Source organism: Homo sapiens, chromosome 15 (genome assembly GCF_000001405.40).
Source record: "Homo sapiens chromosome 15, GRCh38.p14 Primary Assembly".
NCBI classification, from domain to species: Eukaryota; Metazoa; Chordata; class Mammalia; order Primates; family Hominidae; genus Homo; species Homo sapiens.
The window spans coordinates 89,827,270-89,846,706 of NC_000015.10; the positions used below are offsets into that span (position 1 = coordinate 89,827,270).

A 19,437-nucleotide genomic window follows, 5' to 3' on the forward strand; every position below is an offset into this window, starting at 1 on the left:
ACATGGCACACACTGTCATATCGGGTGACAAGCGCCACAGAGGACAAAGTGGGGTGAGGGATGGGGAGTGAGGGGAGAAGTGGCTGCTTCAGCCAGGTGGGACCGGGAAGTCCTCTGCAGGTGAAGGCTGAGAGAAGTGAGGAGCAAGGGGGACCTGAAGACAGAGGCAGAGGGGATGGCAAGACAAAGGCCCTGCGTGGGAATGAGCCCGGCAGGTTTGAGAAGCATAAAGGCCAGTGTGGCTGGAAGGAGGGAGCCAGGCAGGGGTGCAAGATGAGGATGTGGGGTGGGTGGGGGCAGCTAAGCAGGGCCTTGGGTTTCTTTGAGGCTGGTGGGAAGCTTTTGGGAGGCTTTAAAGGCTGCAGGGCAGTGGGGGTCTGATGAATGCATGAGGTGGTTCACTCTGCGGTGGAGCGATGACATGAGCCACAAGGAGACAGAGGGGGAGGCAGAGACACTGCTGAGGGGCCTGAGGGGTTGTGGTGGTGTCCGGGCAGGGACACTGGGGTGGAGGATGCAGTGGTGACATGTGGGCTCCAGGACCACTGACTATCGTGCAGGATCTGGTGCTGGGGGGCAGTGAGTTCTCAGGGAGGGAAACTCGTGTCAGGGATGAGAAGACAGGGGCTGGGGATGCCGGGGACTGTGGGCCCAGAGCAAAGGGGAGCTGTGACACCCAGAGAAAGGGTGGCCTTTGGCCTCTCCAGGGCAGGGGAGCCCAGGGCAGTTGGGCAGAGCTGGGCTGGGGCTGAGCCAGTTGGGCTGACAAGAAGGCTTGGGCGGGACCTGACAAGGAGGACTTGCTTCAGGGTGTCAACCTGTACCAGGCTCAGGCTGCAAGGCCAGGTAGTGTCACCGTAACCCTCACCTGGTTGACACAGGGTCTGGACCCAAGGATTTCCTTCCAACCCTGTAATATCATTATGTACTTTAAACAGCTACTGGGCTGCTTGACAGTTTCTAGGGCTGAGGCAGGGCCCAAATGGTGGAGAAGAGGCAGCTAGAGGCCGGGAACTCAGAAGGGGAATCTCAGCAAAAAACACCCCGAAGGAGCTGAGTCCTGCGGGAGCTCCCTCTACGTGAACTGACGGGTGTTGTGGGAGCAGGTCCAGCCACACAAAGGAAGTTCCAGTAGAGCTGGCTCGGCAGTTGACAGTTTAAATCCTGGCTTGCCTCGGTGCTGCTGGCTTCGGTCCGCAGCTCCCTCTAGCCAGCCCACACCCAGCTGGGGAGCCACTCAGGGCTGGACAGGGGTCAGGGAAAGGGCATTCATGTCAAGTGCCCCGGACCAAGAGGCCGGAGAAAACCTTCAGTTCCAGGTTGCCTAGGGCAAAGGTGGTGATCTTTGGCAGCACAAAGTGCCCTGGGTTTGGGGCTGTCCTTTGGCCTCCAGTTTCAGTGCTAGCCTGGGAGTGTCCAGAGAGATGAAGTATGAGATGACTTGTCCCTCCCACCACAGTGCCCAAGTGGGAGGAGGCACGCTGACCCATGCAGCCACACACACAACCCACAGGCCTCATCTCTGACTCTCCCAGGCAAGCAAAGGAGCAGACTGCAGCAGCCCTGAGATGTGGCTGTTGCCTCGGAAGGAATGTTGCCTTGGAAGGAAGAGGAAGGGATCCCGGCGGAAGGAAGAGGAAGGGATCCTGGCGGCAGAGCCCACATGTGACACCAGTAACCCCCAACCCCTAAATCAGCTACCTCCATCCTGATTGGTCAATGCCTGAGCCATGCTGGTTGGTAAATATTTTGAGCATCACCTCATTCTGCGGAACCAGGGGACTCATTTGTGAAAACTACCTGGAACTCCTGTCTATCAATTTTAGCTTAGCCTTTCTTTCACAGTGTGCAAAGGGCGTTCATTCTCAGCAATGCAGAAGGCAACCTCCAGCTTGTCTCTCCTGAAATTGCAGCCTGGTCCTTGGAGGCTGGGGGAGGGGACACCCCTGTTTCCAAGTGCTCCCGGGAGGCCAGGCTGTCAGAGCTGTACTAAAATGTAAGGTTTGCTCTTGAGAAGGCTCAAAGATCCCACTTCTCATGGGAAGCGTGGAGTCCCTGCAGGGGCCCCAACTCTCATCCAGGCCTGCGAGGTCAGAGGCCCTCTCACTGGTCCCCAGATTCGAGCTCCCGCCGTGCTTGCTGGGACTGCCAGATGTCCCTCCTGACTCCAGGGAAAGGAAGTTCCAGGCTCCTCTCCCCTCTGACCCCCATACCGTGGGTCCTGCCAGTTGCTAGTTGCTCTTCTATGTCTTCAGACGCTCCCCATCTTAAGATTCACTTTCTGCAGACCCCACCACCTCCTCAACCATTTTATCTAGCTGTGCCTCTGGATACGGGTGTGGGACCCCACTGACAGGCCAGGCCAGGGCCAGTGTGCATCACCATCCCCGTGCAGTGCCCTCCTTTAAGGCCCACTTTGGTTTCTGCTGCCCTCATTTCCTCTTCCCCTTCTGCCAGGACCTGAGCTCTTTCTCCTTCCCAGCATCATCGAACTTATTCCATCCACCTCCTCAACTCCCATTCCCTCTGCAAGTCTCAGTGATAAGAGTAGCCAATGTTGACTGAGTGAGTCCTTCATCGTCCGCATCAGTGATTCACTGAATCCACACAGTAACCTACAAGGCAGGAATCATTACCCTCTTTTTCAGATGAGCAAACTGAATCTTCCGAAGGTTCAGACTGCACATTGCAGAGCTGGACTGTGACCCACACTAAGTTTGGACCTGCCCCACCATGAGGCTAGAGCCATCTCTTCACAGTTCTCACTCGGGGGGCTGGGCTGGGGCCAATGGAAGCCTGAGAGAGGCCGTCTCTTCCTGGTCCCCCTCCCCACTGAAAGTGCTTCCTTGACTTGAAGTCGCCCGCTGTCCAGATGCTCCTCTCTCCCCTGCCCACAGGCTCAGTCCTCAACCCTCTTGTCCCTCGGCCACAGCGCTCACCCCCACACCTCCAATCATCATCTCTGGGTGGAGACTCATTTCCTCTCCTGCCCACTCAGTTTCCCAGCTGGCTGGTGGACATCTGCCCCCAGAGATGCTTGGACAACCCCAACCGAATGCGTTCCACATCCAAACTCCTGATTGCCACCCTCCCAAACCCCCTCCCTCTCTCGAGAGCCCCATCCTTGCGCCTCCTCGTTACACGGGCTCCACCTGCCAACACCAGCTCTGCCATTCTCCTCTCCCTCAGCCTCCACGAGCCATCATCGGGTCCTTCCCACTTCCTGCTTCCAATACCACTATTCTGGTTCTCCTTCCCAAGTGCTGAGCACAGGGACCTGGAGAGCACATGCTGAGACTGTTAGAATGAACTGCCATTTGCCTCAACCGTTCACTCATCCAACAGTTATTTATTGAACGCCATGGACCAGGTACCGTGCCCAGCAGCTGGGATGCAGCACTGAACACGAGACAAGCCCCTGCCCTGGAGGGGCTTACATCCCGGCAGGGTAAACAGCCAGTAACTTCAGAAACCAAACATCCAGTACGTCAGAGTGCCATGGGAAAGGTACGCTGAGCAAGGGCGGGCAGTGCCAGGGCTGGGGTGCCACTGTACAGGGTGATGGGGAGGCCCTCCTCCCTGGAGAGGGCGGCATGATCCTAGTGGGCCGAGGTCAACCGCCAGGGTCAAACGGAACACAACCCACTCTCAGGAAGACATCCCTAACACAAATCCAGGGACTTTGTTTCTTAACCTTAAAATTGGAAACACTTCTTGCTACCAGGGATGGGGGGTGGGGCTCAGCGTTTGGGGAACCGGAGTGGGAGTCTTTTGCTGAACAGACTTTTGTTTTCTTAAGTTTTGAACTACATGAATGTATTTCCTTTTTTGAAAGGAAAATTGAAATAGGAAAAAATTTTAAGTCTTTTGGAAAGAATTAATCATTTTCATGGAACTGCTTCCCTATAGGGGCCTGTTTTCGTATCTGCCAACTTCCACTGAAACACGCAGATGGAGAACCCTCCAGTGCTCCCGAGAAGGGAGACAGTCTTAACCCAGAGGACAGCATCCACCAGCCTGCAAGCACGGACCCCGTGCTGGTGTGTGAGTGCAGCACACACTGGGCTAACCATCACCACAGTGAGACTGGCACCCTCTGGGGTAGGGTAGACTCAGGAAGGTGAAAATCAGGATGTCTGCCAGGAGCTGACAAATCCCTCTGGGACTCTCATACTTCAGAGGCTCTCCAGTTTGGCTATTGCTAAACTTGGACTAGCCCCTACTACCGATCTTAATACCCATGTACCAATCATTGCTGCATCCTATTTGGAAAGCAATGGACAGACAGCCACGCTGAAAGCCCTTACTAGAGACTGGTCCACAAGATCAGATTTAGCTGCCCCTGGTTTGAGCCTTGCTCCCCTGGTGTCTTTTCTGGCGAAGCTGGGCCCAGAGAGCGTTTTACTAAGTGGGCTCCATGGTAGTGGAAGTGGTGGGGACAGAAGGCTGGCTCTATATGTGGCAGAGGCCTGAATAAACAGGGATTTGAGAGGGCTCAAGATATCCTGACTTAATCCTCAATGTGGCAGGCACAGGGCCATGGCCAGGCCTAGAGGAAGGTGGGCTGTTTGGGGTATGGCCCAGCAGGGCACGATGTGATCAGGTAGGGCGTAGGGAAATGGGTTACTGTCCTCTAAATATTCCATATATCACAAAGTTACTGACTGCGGTCTCCACAAATTCAGGCTGCCAGTCCGATGCACTATATCCCAACAATCTGAGCACTCTGTCAAAGATGCTCACAGAGACAACAGGAGCAGACAGAGCCTTGTTTCTCTCTTAATCTTCAGAGCCTAGAACTGAGCTTGGCCCTCACCAGGCACTTAGAAATTGCATAATGAAAGAATTTCAGATTTTTATTAGTGGCAGTGAGCACTGAAAACCCAGTATTTGGCCAGGTCCAGTGGCTCACACCTGTAATCCCAACATGTTTGGGAGGCCAAGGCGGGAGGATGGCTTGAGGTAAGGAGTTAGAGACCAGCCTGTGCAACATAGTGAGACCTTATTCTACTAAAAAAATAAAACTAGCCAGGAGTGGTGGTTGCGTGCCTGTGGTTCCAGCTACCTAGGAGGCTGAGGTGAGAGGATCACTTGACCCCGGGGCTTCGAGGCTGCAGTGAGCCATGATCACACCACTGCACTCCAGCCTGAGCCACAGTGTGAGACCCCCATCTCACAAAAAAAGGAAAGCCTAGTATTCTATACAACCTTAACCTATTTTTTTTTTTTTTTTTTTTGAGACGGAGTCTTGCTGTGTTGCCCAGGCTGGAGTGTAGTGGTGCGATCTTGGCTCACTGCAAGCTCTGCCTCCCGGGTTCATGCCATTCTCCTGCCGCAGCCTCCTGAGTAGCTGGGACTACAGGTGTCCACTACCACGGCTGGCCAATTTTTTGTATTTTTAGTAGAGATGGGTTTTCACTGTGTTAGCTAGGATGGTCTCGATCTCCTGACCTCGTGATCTGCCCGCCTCGGCCTCCCAAAGTGCTGGGATTACAGGCGTGAGCCACCGCACCTGGCCAACCTTAACCTATTTTTAAAAAAGATGTTTATGGCTTTGCTGATAGCAGGCTGGAAAGCTAGCTGAATTTGCAGGCAACCTCAAGTAGTTAATGAAAAATTATTGTGGCTTGTCCAAAGGGATTGAGTTTTCCAAATAAAAAAGTGGGCTTCAGTTTTATGTCATTGTAAGAGGCCATGTGAGGGATGTTTGGATGCTCGCTTTGAATCTGTAGGACCACTCAATGATTTTTTAAAACCATTGGTTTCTGGCAGGCAAAACATTCAAAATCTAGGCTATCCCAGGAAATCTAGCATAAGGGCTGTCCTGCAGTAATGCATTAAACCACGTAACAAACGAACTCAAGAAGAGGGATGTGGCTCTGGATTTGTGACCCTCAACATAACATTTACCACCTTGGGCTTCGGCTTCAACATCAGTTAAATGGAGGGACACAGACGACTCTTTGGCTCTTATACTCTATGACATGATCACTGGCCACCTTAGAAAATCAAGCCTATTTAGACCACGGTTTGTGAGAAGTCAGACTCTCTGAGGCTCAGTTTCCTTATCTATAAAAAAGAAGATGATAACATTGGGAGAAGCCATCTTAAGCAGCGAGGAAAGAAAAGGACAGTGGAGTCAAGTGAACAGTCTCAGATCTCAGCCCCGTGTAATCTAAGGGAAGGTTACTGGAGCTGGGTCTACTTTCGTCATCTGCAAAATGGGGATAAGAATGCCTGTTGTAAGGACAGTTGAATGATCTTGCTCATGCCAACTTACAGAAGGTACGAAATAAACGCCGATCTCCTTTATTCTGATCTCACATTCAGCAAATGTGAGAGAAATGTGAATGTACTGAAATGTCTGCCAGAAAAAAGAAAATCCAACCCCTCAAAAGAATGACATCAGGGGTTTTGATATCTATTCACCTACACTTCCCTCTTCCACAGGAAGCGGCCCACCTTCTGACCCACACTGCCCATCTCTGTGCTTATCATGGAGCTTTCAAGAGTGAGGATCGGAGGCTGTATTGAGCAGTGGGCACAAACCACAGGGAGCGCTGTTCAAAAATGGAAAACAAGGTGGCCCTGACACCGGGTGCTGCTGGGCACCCTCTCAGACCTGCCCTGCAACAGCATCAGGAGGCTGAGGGTCCCCAGCCAGAAGGCCCAAGAGGGGCCCAGGCTGGAAACTTTACTGCGAAGCAGCCCTCATCTTAAGGTGGCTCAACACCACACCTGAGATCTAGCCCATGCGACAGTATGGAAGCAGGAGGCCCTACTCCACCACAGAAAGAACATTTATGGGCGCCTAAGCCCTGGGAGAATGGCACCTGAGGGAACAGAGCGTGCCCACAAGCAGACCTTGGGGAGGGAGAAGAGGCAGCCCTGCTCCTAGTCGCAGCCAGCGTGCGTCATGTCCAGGCCCCACAAGGGTGACCCTGGCTCAGGTTCTCATGCTCCAGAAGCTGGCCCAGGTGGCAGTGGGTTCCCTATGGAGGCAGCTCATCATTCACAACACAGCAACAAACCTTCTGCTCTCATGAGGAGAATGTATTTTAAACTTGGGAAGAGTCATAATTCTGGGATGTTTCACATGTTGTCAGCTTTAACCTTCTACAGACACAGGCCCTCTCCTCTGTGAGGAGGGACCTCTGGCATGTGTGGGTGTGTGGTGGGTCCCTCTCCCTATTAGCAGAAATGTGTTGGGCATGAGCCAGGTTTATGATTTGGATTGTGTCCTGCACATAACACCTGTGAGAATACAACTGGGACTAGGACAATGCGGGAAGCATATTCTTCATGAGGCGGTAACCAAAAGGCTTGGCTATACCAAAGGATTCTGGTGGCCGGGCACGGTGGCTCACACCTGTAATGCCAGCACTTTGGGAGGCCAAGGCGGGTAGATCACTTGAGGTCCAGGAGTTCGAGCCCAGCCTGGCCAACATGGTGAAACCCTGTCTCTACTAAACATACAACAATTAGCTGGGCATGGTGGTGGGTGCCTGTAATCCCAGCTACTGGGGAGGCTGAGACAGGAGAAATGCTTGAACCCGGGAAGCAGAGGTTGCAGTGAGCCGAGATTGCACCACAGCACTCCAGCCTGGGTGACAGAGCAAGACTCCACCTCAAAAAAAAAAAACCACAAAAAAACACAAAAGGATTCTGGGTGTAACAATCTCAGTAGAGCCAGCGGGTGACTCTGGTTCTCCTAAAATTCTGCCCTTACTTGCCACTCACCACACCCCCAGATCTGAAGGGCCAGCCCTTTTCTACCTATGACACCTCACCAGCAAGTAAAGGGCACAGGACCTCAGAAGTCTGTGGTGCTAAGGATGAAGACTCTACTCAGAGAAGGTGCTCAGCCCTAGTGAGGAGGTTCTGGGAAGCAGGTGGGCCTGCTCAATGCAGTCCCTAACCCTTGGGAGCATCCATGTGAGAGGTAAAGGTGCAAATGACTTGGGCATGTTGACTCCCTACTGAGGAAGGCAGGGCCCCTCACATCTGCAGTGGCCGTATGCATCAGAGAACGGCATGACTGCACATGTGAGAACTGGGTGCACCCGAGCAGTGTCAATAGGAATCCCTTCCCTATTCCATGCCAAACAGTCTTCCCCAGACACAAAGTTTCCAGGTCCTGAGGCTTGACTCTTCTAAGGCTCAAAATGGGTTCTGTTTCCAGACGTGCTTGCCTTGCTTGTCTTTGCTTGTCTTAAGGACTCTATTTCAGGCCAATACTTGATCCTCAGACAAACTGGGACAGGTTGGGAACTTTGATGTTGAGATCGCCAATGTTGATGTTCCGAGGAATCTCTGGCAGGTTGATGTTTTTCACAGCAGACACAGCCCGCGCAGGGGCTGCTGAAAGGCCACCCTAAGAAGAAATGAGAGGCGAGTATGAGACAAATTCTCACTGTTATCTGCTTAATGCTAAAAAAAAAAAAAAAAAAAAAGCAAAAACAAAAACAAACAAGCAGGATGGGTGTGGTGGCTCACGCCTGTAATCCCAGCACTTTGGGAGGCCGAGGTGGGTGGATCACCTGAGGTCAGGAGTTCGAGATAGGCCTGGCCAACATGGTGAAACCCCATCTCTACCAAAAATACAAAAATTGGCCAGGAGTGGTGGCGGGCCCCTGTAGTCCCAGCTACTAGGGAGGCTGAGGCAGGAAAATCGCTTGAACTCAGAAGGCGGAGGTTGCGGTGAGCTGAGATCACGCCACTGCACTCCAACCTGGGCAACAGAGTGAGACTCTGTCTCAAACAAACAAACAAACAAAATAACAGGTGAAGGATGCCTAGAAAAATTCCAAACTGAGCACACACAACTGAAGTTTTAACTTTCCCCCCTTATTCCTCAAAAGTAGCCAACAAAACAATCTTGAGGTTAGATGGGGTTTGGCACAGGGATCCAAAGCCTGCAGTCCTACTAGACTACCAGCTCCTCAGAGGCGGAGTGTGGCCTATACAGTTTCACAGCCCCAGCCTCTCACAGTACCTGGCACATGGTGGGTACCCAATAAATGCTGAAATAATCTAAGGTGATTTGTCAGGGGCACTTTTCTGGTTACAAAACAAAACAAAACCCTTTCCTCAAGAGACCAAAGACTCTTATTGAAACGTGCAAAGTCACCGGGAAGTTCTTAAAAGGAAAAGGACAGTCACAGCTCTAGGGCAACTGCTTGCCAACTAATAATGTGAGATGAAAAGAGCTGGCTTTGGAAGTGTCATGTGGCAACAAGCTGGGAGAAGGTGGGGGGTATCACAGATAAAGAAGAGCTGGTGACAAAACGCAAAGAGTATGCACATCTACAGTGAACCCCCACCTGGCAGGCTCACCCCCACGTGGAGGGAACGGCAAAAGTGGATGAAAACTCTCTCACAATCATTTTTCCCCTATTGCCTTCTTTCCGGATACCAACTCTGCTTCTGCCCTCACCCAGCAAGTCTCCATTTCTTCTCATTTCCAACCCCCTTGCCTCTGACTCACTTACTATTCCTGGAATCTTCCCAGCCTACATTTCTAAAAGAACTATAGCTGCCACCAATAGCTGTGGTCTGGAAAAGCTTCTTCCACAGGACTGCCAGTCCTCACAGAAAGAAGAATTCCTGGTTTCGCAAGATCAAGTTCCGTATACAAGGCAAAGAAGCTCTTTAAGACACTCAGATAATTAAAGAGGTAATTTGTTCTGCTATTTCTGCATGTGAAAGTATACGTCTGTAACCTCTGTGCTCTGGGAAGGCTGAGGAAGGGGACGGCGAGACCTCAGAGGGATAGGACAGAATTTATGTGAACATCTCTATCAAGCCCAGCACCATGTGGGGGTGGACTGGGGTATGTTATTTTCAAGCCTAGCCCAAACTCTACTGTAGTTTTTTATAAAGCTAACTGGAAATAAGGAAATTGGCAACTCTGAGGTCTGAAAGACACCACGAGAAATGGCTGCTGGGAGATCAGACTCTTAGAGCACACAAACTAGGAAACCACACTGGACTAGGGAAGAGGGTTCTGGGTCCCTCCAGGGAACGAGTGGCTTTCAAAGGAGGAATTACAAACCACAAACATGGGCCATAACCCCCAAGCCAGAAGCTGTTTGCCTTCCTCTGCCATCTGGCTTTTCTATTTGCTCTTCTACCCTGAAAATCTGAGATTTCAAACTTGTTACCTGTTTAATTTTCAGGGCTGGCTGACCTTCAAATCCATGAGTTTCAATGGACTCAAGGAAGAAAGAAGATGAGTATCATTTCCCGAGGTTTCACAGCAACACAAACCAACACATGTACACACTCCTGCCTCTGCCCAGGTTTTCTCTACCCAGCCAGGGCTAGAGCACAGCTGCTTACTCACCTCGGATTTCTCCAGCCTGTTTTGAGCCTCAATCTGAGCCACGATTTCATTCATGTTTGTTTCCAACACCATCCCACCCATCACCACCTCCTGGAGGATGTAGTGCACCTAAAAGGGAAGCAAAAATCAGGAGTCAGAATACTCTGTGGTGGTCAGAGTGTAACCCACGAGGTTTCCTTTTCCTGCAGCAGCAGAGTGGTCAGATATGACCTGTCCTGACTCACAACTCAGACACTCAAACCCCCCTGCCCAGTGACACAACGAGGGGTCTCTCCCAGGTCTTGGCACATGGCAACACGAATCTCTCCCCTCAGCAGCGAGGTGGTAGCTATGAGCACAGGCTTCAAAGTCTGACAGCTCTTGTTTAAATTCTGGCTCTGCTACTTGCTAGCTGGGTGGCCCTGGGCAAATGACCTTTAAAGTGCTTCAGCCTCCTTCCAGGATTGCAGTGAGGACTGGATGAGATAAATGTGTGTAAAGCACCTAGCCTGGTGCCCAGGACACACTGGGTTCTAAGTAAGGAATGGTGGCTTTCATTATTAATATTACCATCATCAACACTGACTGTCATTAAGTAGGTCCAGCTATGACAGAATAATCCCTGTCCAAGCAACTGAAATGAATGTCTTCCACCTTCTATAAGGCAGATCCTCCAGCCTGTGCTCCACTGAAGGGACGTGATCAGAGCAAGATAGAGCCCAATTCCTTTGCACCTCTCCTCACCTCATTTCTTACTGCTTAGATTAGAAAGCAGATTCAGCATAAACACCTTTCTAAGCATAAGGGTCACATTTGGGCTTAGGTTCCATCTAGCTAGCAGTCATCTAAACAAAGCTGAATCTCAGTGTACCTAACTGCTGTGATGGGACGGAGGTGACTCAACTACTGTACCCCTTTGTGGTAGGAAAGCTGTCACAGAAAGCCCTGGGTGGGTCAAAGCAGAGATGCCCACTGTGGTTCATAAGGAATGGTACTCCATATTTCAAACCAAATCACATCAAATGGCCCTCAAGGTGCTTTCGGTCAAGTTGGGAAGACAGCAAGTACAACCTTCTATTGTTAACTAAGTGCCAAATGACTGGGATAGTCCTGGGGAAGTCAGAGAAGAAAGGGTACAGTGGCTAGAGAGATCAGAGAGCTTCACAGAGACAGTGGGAGGATGGAAGCTGGGCTCTGACATTAGAGAGGTAGGGGAAAGAATTTCAGGTAGAAGATGTTGGAAGGAGCAATTCAGCTGGTGTATGGGCAGGTATGGGGAGCTCCTGGGTCTGGCTGGGATGGCAACTTTCTTTATGCAGGAGAGAGGCTAAGACAAGGCTGAGAAGGTAATTTGGGTCTGGAGCAGGGCTTCTCAGCCTAGGTACTAGTGACATCTGGGACCAGATAATCCTCTGCTGTGGGGCTGTCCTGTCACTGTGGCCTGTTCTCTAGCATCCCTGGTCTCTACTCCTCCAGCTTGACAATCAAAAATGTCTCCAGAATTGTCATATGTGTTCCAGGGGGCAAATTCACCCCAGCTGAGAACCACTGGTCCAGAGTCTAGAGTCAACCACCAGTTTACTCTGTCAGCAATGCAGAGTCAAGAAGAAAGATGTGTCTGCATATCTGGGCACTGTGCACTTCTGACATCTGAAGTTCTCTGGCATTGGCTCCCTGTATTTTGCCCTCAGTAAGTGCAGGGAACTTCTGATCTTGAGGACAGAGTATAATAAATCAAATGTATTCCCTTGCGTGTGTGCCCACATTGAGCTTTATTAACCACTGTTCTGTCTACACACACGCACACACACACTCTCACGAGGTGTTCTTACATTTTATACAATATGAATTATTCATTAGCTATATGCAAATGAAGATTTAATGGTAAAAGTCTCATATTTAGATAATTTACAAAATGTTAAACAAGACTGGTTTTAAAATTATTCCCTGGGGGAATTCCACTGTTTATACTTCCCCATCAAGAAATAGGCCTCTGAAAACAGTATGGTGGTTCCTCAAAAAGATTAAAAACAGAATTACCATATGGCCCAGCAATTCCACTTTTGGATATACACTCAAAAGAACTGAAAGTAAAGACTTGAAGAGAATGTGTACACCCATGTTCATAGCAGTATTATTCACAACAGCCAAAAGGTGGAAGCAGCCCAAGTGTCCATGAACAGACGACTGGATCAACAAAATGTGCCATAGAAATACAACAGAATATTATTCAGCCTTAAAAAGGAAAAGAATTCTTTTTTTTTTTTTCATCTGAATTGAGATGCTGTAAAAGGGAAGGGAATTCTGAGACACAATGTAACACGGATGAACCTTGAAGATACTATAAGTGAAACAACCCACACACAAAAGGATGAGGACTGTGTGATTCCACTCCTGTGAGGTACCCAGAGTAGTCAAATTCAGAGACAGAAACTGGAACGGGGGCTGCCATGAGGCAGGGGGAAGAGGACAGTGGTGGCTATTGTTTAATGTGTACAGAGGTGCTGTTTTGCAAGATGAAGAGCTCTGGAGACGGATGGTGGTGGCGACTGCACAACAATGTGGATATACTTAATGCCACAGAACTGTAAGCTTAAAAATGGTGAAGACAGGAAACTATATGTTACATATTTTACCACAATTTAACAAAAAAGGAGAGAAATAGTCCTCTATACCTGCACTTTCAGTATTTATTCCTTTTATTTAGCCAATCCCTGTGTGGGTAGAAAGTAGTACTTGTTGAGTATCTATTATGAACCAAGTACTTTATGTAACTTACCTTAATTTTACAACATTCATCTAAGGTAGGTAATATAATCTTCACTTTATTATTATTATTACTATTATTATTTGAGGCTGAGTCTCACTCTGTCACCCAGGCTGGAGTACAGTGGTGTGAACTTGGCTCACTGCAACCTCCGCCTCCTGGGTTCAAGCGATTCTCCCAACTCAGCCTCCTGAGTAGCTGGGATTACAGGCACCCGCCACCATGCCCAGCTAATTTTTATATTTTTAGTAGAGTCGGGGTTTCCTCATGTTGGCCAGGCTGGTCTGGAACTCCTGACCTCAGATGATCCCCCTGCCTTGGCCTCCCAAAGTGCTGAGATTACAGGCGTGAGCCACCACGCCTGGCCTGACTTCACTTTATATATGAAGAAATTGATACATTTTATATATGAGGAAAAGGCAATAAAATGATCCCAATGTCATGTATATTAGCAGCAGAATGGTGCTGATTCCGGAGCTCATGTTCTACCCTTTATATCATACTTCCTCAGAATCCCAAACTATGTCTTCCACTCTATTCATCCCTGACCCCTAGTCCACATGAAATCATTTAAGACTTGTCTTTGGTGTGTCAATATCTTGTATTAATTCTTCCATGCTTTATCTCCAAGGCCTAGAACAACGCTCAGAGTAGGCATGCTAAATGAATGAAAGGCTTTCCATATATCTAAGTAGCATATTCCTTGGGCTTTAGGGACTTCGAAGATAGACAACAGTGTGGTGGTGGGGGCTTTCTGGAGAAGGTATAGTAAAAGGCCTAACACATGATGTCGTGGAGACTAGTGGCTGGTTAACAGAAAAAGTCAGTTAAAACTTCTTATTTAACACTGCATCATAAAGTCAGCATTTTCAAATGCTGTTCAAAATATGTTCCAAATGCAAAAAGAAGAAATAAAAATGCAAACTCCATTTTTGTTATAACTACAGGATATCCAAAATTCCAAACCCCCAAACAGGTGAAAAAGCTGTCAAAAGCAGGGAGCTCAGGCAGGGACTCCTTTGCTTCACAGAAGAAAAAGAAGAAAGGATGCTACAGGGAGAGGACAGGGAAGCTGGTGATCTCAGAAAGATCTGCAAAAATATGTACTTCCTGTGGGTAAAGGACACACTCCAGCACCAAATTAATTCCTTGTTTTTGGAAGGCAGGAACTTCCTTGGACCTGAAGTTGAGGCTAAATGAGAAATCACGCAAGCTACATTTGCCTCACAGAGGTGGTGTCTGTGGTAGTAGAGAAGACATCCTTTGCATTGTGGAGATGCTAAGAGACGCCTTGCCTATCTCGATTGGCTGGCTAGAGACTAAGGGTAAACGGACTCACCCAGAACCCTAAATCAAGGGAACAACTGTAGCTAGCCCAGAACAGAGTTTTGGTAGCTCCTCCAACAAACATCCTGCAAAACAGCTGGTCCCTGAAAAACTTGCCTATTTAAAGATAAGTATACAAAAAATCTAAACAGGATCTATATAAATATACAACGAGAAAAAATTAGGAAAGAAATAGGAAAACCAAATGGCAGACTAAGACCACAGACTGGAAAAGGGCCTCCATGGACTAGATACAATGGTAATAAAATATTTTACACAAAGAAAAAAAGAAAACTTGATAAAATAGTTGTCTCTATGAAATGAGAGCTCAAAGCAGAAATACAAGAACTTTAGCAGAGGTAGGGAGACGAGAAGAGAAGACAAGCTGCATACTGGCAGAACTGAGGAAAGAAGTGAAAGGAAAAATACTGTTACAGAAATGAAGGTGAAACTGGAAGAAGCAAAGGGAGAAGAAACTGCTAAAAACACACTAGGAACAAAAGGAGAGAAATGGAAAAAAAAAATGAAACCAAAAAGGGCTAAAAGAAATAGAGAAGAAACAGTTACAAAAGACAGCAAAGGAGATGTAATATTTGCATAAAAGAAAACTTTAACATGAATGGGAAAAATATGTAAAGATATGTTCATAAAGATAGAATCTAAGGTGTTTCTGAACTATAAGAGGATTGGGGTCTACACACTGAAAGGTCACACTGTATCCCAGGGGAAACAAATTCAGAATAGGCAGTACCAAGATACACCTTTAGGTAAGGTTTCTGGGTTCCTGCAACCAGGCAAAAAGATCAAATCACTTAAAAGAGAAACAAAATAATGAAAATTTCCACATTAATATTTAATGCTAACAGAAAATGGAACAACACCTACAAAATTCTCAAGGACAGAAAGTGTGACTCAAGGACTTTATTTATTTTTATTTTTATTTTTGAGACGGAGTCTCGCTCTGTTGCCAGGCTGGAGTGCAGTGGCGCGATCTCGGCTCAGTGCAACCTCCACCTCCTGGGTTCAAGCGATTCTCCTGCCTCAGCCTCCCAAGTAGCTGGGACTATAGGCATGCGCCACCATGCCCAGCTAATTTTTGTATTTTTAGTAGAGACGGGGTTTTACCATGTTGGCCAGGATGGTCTGCATCTCTTGACCTTGTGATCCGCCCACCTTGGCCTCCCAAAGTGCTGGGATTACAGGCGTAAGCCACTGTGCCCAGAAGACTCAAGGACTTTATACCCAGTCAACTGTCCAGCAAGGGTAACAGAATGGGGACCATTATTCCCAGGTATTTCTTTTTTTCTTTTTTTTTGAGACAGAGTTTCACTCTTGTTATCCAGACTGGAGTGCAATGGCGCGATCTCCGCTCACCACAACCTCTGCCTCCCCGGTTCAAGCGATTCTCTTGCTTCAGCCTCCTGAGTAGCTGGGATTACAGGCATGTGCCACCACGCCTGACTAATTTTGTATTTTTCGTAGAGATGGGGTTTCTCCATGTTGGTCAGGCTGGTCTCAAACTCCCAAACTCAGGTGATCCGTCCGCCTTGGCCTCCCAAAGTGCTGGGATTACAAGCATGAGCCACTACACCCAGCCAAGTATTTCTTAAGGAATCTACAAAAGGAAGCACTTGTGCCAACTAACAGGTGACTGGAAAAACTATGGCAGGGCCAGGCCTGGTGGCTCATGCCTGTAATCCCAGCACTTTGGGAGGCCAAGGTGGGTGGATCATTTGAGGTCAGGAGTTCAAGACCAGCCTGGCCAACATGGTGAAACCCCGTCTCTACTAAAAATACAAAAATTAGCCAGGTGTGGTGGCATGCACCTGTAATCCCAGCTACTCAGGAGGCTGAGGCAGAATTGCTTGAACCCGGGAGGTGGAGGCTGCAGTGAGCTGAGATCGCACCATTGTACTCCAGCCTGGGTGATGGAGCGAGACTCTATCTCAGAAAAAAACAAACAAACAAAAGTTAGCTGGGCAGAAGTGGCATGTGCCTGTAATTCTAGCTACTTGGGAGGCTGGGGCAGGAGAATCGCCTGAACCCAGGAGGAGGAGGTTACAGTGAGCCAAGATCGTGCCACTGCACTCCAGCCTGGGCAACAAGAGTGAAACTCCGTCTCAGAAACAAAAACAAAAACAAAAACAAAAAAACTACGGCAAAAACTTACGGTGAGCACTGAAAACTACTTAACTGTAGGTCTAAGACTAAAATAGGATTAGGGTAACAACAGATCGTCAATACTATATGCTTTGATGATGTATAAAACTCCAGCTAGCAAAAACTAGGAAGAGAAGAGGGGAAAAAGGAGGGAGGTAGAATACGAACACTGATTTCCTCACCCTCAGTAACTGAGAGTCCATGGATAGCATTTAAAACTAAAGTAATAAAGATATGGTTAATCTGACTTTTACTGTGACTTTTCCCGTGAATGTTCAAGCCTACCATCATTGTTATAAACAACAAAACTTTGAGAGCCACTGAACTTTTGGCTAGGGCCAAAAAACCCTCTTTCTTTCTTTCTCTTTCTTTCTTTCTTTCTTTCTTTCTTTCTTTCTTTCTTTCTTTCTTTCTTTCTTTCTTTCTCTCTCTCTCTCTTTCTTTCTTTACTTTTTTCTTTCCTTCCTTCCTTCTTTCCTTCCTTCCTTCTTTCTTTCTTTCTTTTTTTAGAGACAGGGTCTTGCTCTGTCACCCAGGCTGGAGTGCAGTGCCATGATAATAGCTCACTGCAGCCTTGAACTCCTGGGCTCCAGCAATCCTCCTGCCTCAGTCTCATGAGTAGCTGGGCCTATAGGCATGTGCCACCATGCCCAGCTTTTTTTCTTTTTTTTTTTAATTTCTAAGTAGAGATGAGGTCTTGCTATATTGCTCAGGCTGGTCTTGAACTCCTGAGCTCAAGGGATCCTCCCGCCTCAGCCTTCCAAAGCATTGGGATTACAGGTGTGAGCCAATGTGCCCAACCTAGAAGGATCTCTTCTGCTGATTAGAGTTTTTTGCCATTATTGCAAAAAACTCACCCAGAATGCATCATCTACAATTTCCAGTTTCTTAAAGTTAGAACTCAAACTGCTGTGAAACAGTAAGTACAGAATCCTAGATTTTTAAGATCCTTCCACCTCTACTCTTCCATAGTTATCTTGCCCAAACCTAATTCAGCTTCATTTCCTTTTTAAAGTACTTGTCCTTCCAAAGCATTCCTCTTACTTTTCACAGAGTAATTTTCTTTTCTTTTTTTTTTTGGAAACAGTCTCACTCTGTTGCCCAGCTGGAGTGCAGTGGCACGATCTCGGCTCACTGCAGCCTCTGTCTCCCAGGCTCAAGCGATTCTCTTGCCTCAGCCTCCTGAGTAGCTGGGACTACAGGCGCCCGCCACCACGCCCAGCTTATTTTTTGTATTTTTAGTAGAGACGAGGTTTTACCATGTTGCCCAGGCTGGTCTTGAACTCCTGAGCTCAGGCAATCTGCCTACCCCGGCCTCCCAAAGTCCTAGGATTACAGGCGTGAGCCACCATGCACAGCCAGAATAATTTTCTTTTCTCCCTCATAATTTAATCTGTATATTATTTAATCAAATTACATAATTACAGTACCAGTTTACTGGCATAAAGAGATCTGGAAACATCACAACTGACCTTTGGTAAGCAAAATGACTCAAGTGTAAGTGAGCAATGGATGAGCGAACAGCTGCCCGTGTTAGTCCTGCTAGTCAGTTCAGACCTTGTCCACTGAATATGAAGTTGACCATGAAAGATGGCTAACATTTCTCTGATTGGAGATAGATGGGACTTAAGAAAGTTGGAGGCTGCCAAGCATGGGTGTGGGAGCAAGCAGTCAAGAATCAACACTGAACTCATGTACCTAAAGAACTGGAGATAGAGTCAGGGCACAAAGAAGGGTTCTGTTAAACAACAGAAGTTGGCTGATGCGCTGACCTTGAGGATGCCTGCAGAAATCTAAGTAAATACCTGAGAGAACACTGACAGATAAAGTCACAAACCAACACAGGGAGGCTGGTAGGGAAAGAAAATCTGAGACGTGAGTCATGTAAATGGTATTCAAAACCACAGGAACAGAAAGAAAGAGGCTAAGTCTTCGAGAGGCCTAAACTCAGCTTCACACAGTGTGCATTGAACAAATATGAATTATGAAGTAATAATAATTCAACCTTCTACTCAGCAAGCATGGGAAATAATGACACTAGCAAAATTCACTCAGAAGTGTTTATTAACAGAGTTTAAACAAAAGTGCTACTGATTTTTCAGTACTTGGCAAATCCAATGGTAATTCAACCTAAAAATAATTACAACCAGGATGAGTTTCATCTGACATAAAGATTAGGATAACCCCAATAAACCAACAGGATATCTTGATATAAGGGGAAGGCAATAGAGAAAATGCTTCGGGTGATAAATCTGAAATCTTAAAAGGTAAAATGAGGCATAGATACTGATGTTTTCCAAGATCAAGATACATAAATTTATGACAACATTTTAGTGAGTGAAAGTCGGTGTTTTTAGCTCTGTCCTATTTAAATTTTTCTCTTGGAACCCCTGAAAATAGTCAAGAGTAGGAATGAGTACTGTAGTCAAAATGTCAATTCCTCTAAAGACAATCTAACCTGTTATCGAGTCTCTCCACTCTCCCCCAACACCTCTGGACATCTGTGTCTCTTTATTTTTTTTTTTTCTTGAGACATGGTCTCACTCTGTCGCCCAGGATGGAATACAGTGGCATGATCTCGGCTCATTGCAACCTCCACCTCCCAGATTCAAGCGATCCTACAGCCTTAACCTCCCCAGTAGCTGGGACTACAGGCCACATGCCACCACACCCGGCTAATTTTTTTTCTTTTTTTTTTGAGACGGAGTCTCGCTCTGTGGCCCAGGCTGGAGTGCAGTGGTGCGATCTCGGCTCACTGCAACATCCGCCTCCCGGGTTCAAGCAATTCTCCTGCCTCAGCCTCCCGAGTAGCTGGGACTACAGGCGTGTGCCACCACACCCAGCTAATTTTTTGTATTTT

General features: G+C 47.8%; 2 protein-coding genes and 1 long non-coding RNA gene across 5 annotated transcripts in view, besides 2 other annotated features; 1 reads left to right on the forward strand and 2 right to left on the reverse strand.

Moving 5' to 3' along the window:
* Window positions 82-973: an enhancer, noted in NCBI's record as "H3K4me1 hESC enhancer chr15:90370583-90371474 (GRCh37/hg19 assembly coordinates)". NCBI's record gives its function as "activates a minimal SCP1, AML or CMV promoter by ChIP-STARR-seq in primed H9 embryonic stem cells {active_cell/tissue: H9 hESC(primed)}" and the evidence as "EXISTENCE:reporter gene assay evidence [ECO:0000049][PMID:30033119]".
* The window catches only part of ARPIN-AP3S2 (ARPIN-AP3S2 readthrough), an 82,354-nt gene continuing 66,246 nt past the window's right edge, over window positions 3,330-19,437 (reverse strand). Inside the window, exons 9-10 of the mRNA NM_001199058.2 lie at window positions 10,346-10,453; window positions 3,330-8,374 (exon numbers count right to left, since the gene is read on the reverse strand). Coding sequence (NP_001185987.1) covers window positions 8,246-8,374; window positions 10,346-10,453 — 237 coding nt within the window. The 3' untranslated portion in view covers window positions 3,330-8,245. The remainder of the gene's footprint in view (window positions 8,375-10,345; window positions 10,454-19,437) is intronic.
* Window positions 3,330-19,437, reverse strand: part of AP3S2 (adaptor related protein complex 3 subunit sigma 2) — a 63,396-nt gene continuing 47,288 nt past the window's right edge. For all 3 annotated transcript variants that reach the window (NR_037582.2, NR_023361.2, NM_005829.5), the window contains 2 exons: window positions 10,346-10,453; window positions 3,330-8,374 (listed from right to left, as the gene is read on the reverse strand). Coding sequence is in view for 1 of the 3 variants with exons in the window: in NM_005829.5 (NP_005820.1) it covers window positions 8,246-8,374; window positions 10,346-10,453 (237 nt within the window). In the remaining 2 variants the exon portion in view is untranslated. The remainder of the gene's footprint in view (window positions 8,375-10,345; window positions 10,454-19,437) is intronic.
* Window positions 8,640-12,075, forward strand: LOC124903552 (uncharacterized). The gene is made up of 2 exons (XR_007064754.1): window positions 8,640-9,676; window positions 10,179-12,075. It is a non-coding gene; the product is annotated as an uncharacterized LOC124903552 (long non-coding RNA).
* Window positions 9,576-10,775: an enhancer, noted in NCBI's record as "CDK7 strongly-dependent group 2 enhancer chr15:90380077-90381276 (GRCh37/hg19 assembly coordinates)". NCBI's record gives its function as "activates an origin of replication core promoter dependent on BRD2, BRD4, P300/CBP, MED14 and CDK7 cofactors, with strong dependence on CDK7, by STARR-seq in HCT116 cells {active_cell/tissue: HCT116}" and the evidence as "EXISTENCE:reporter gene assay evidence [ECO:0000049][PMID:35650434]".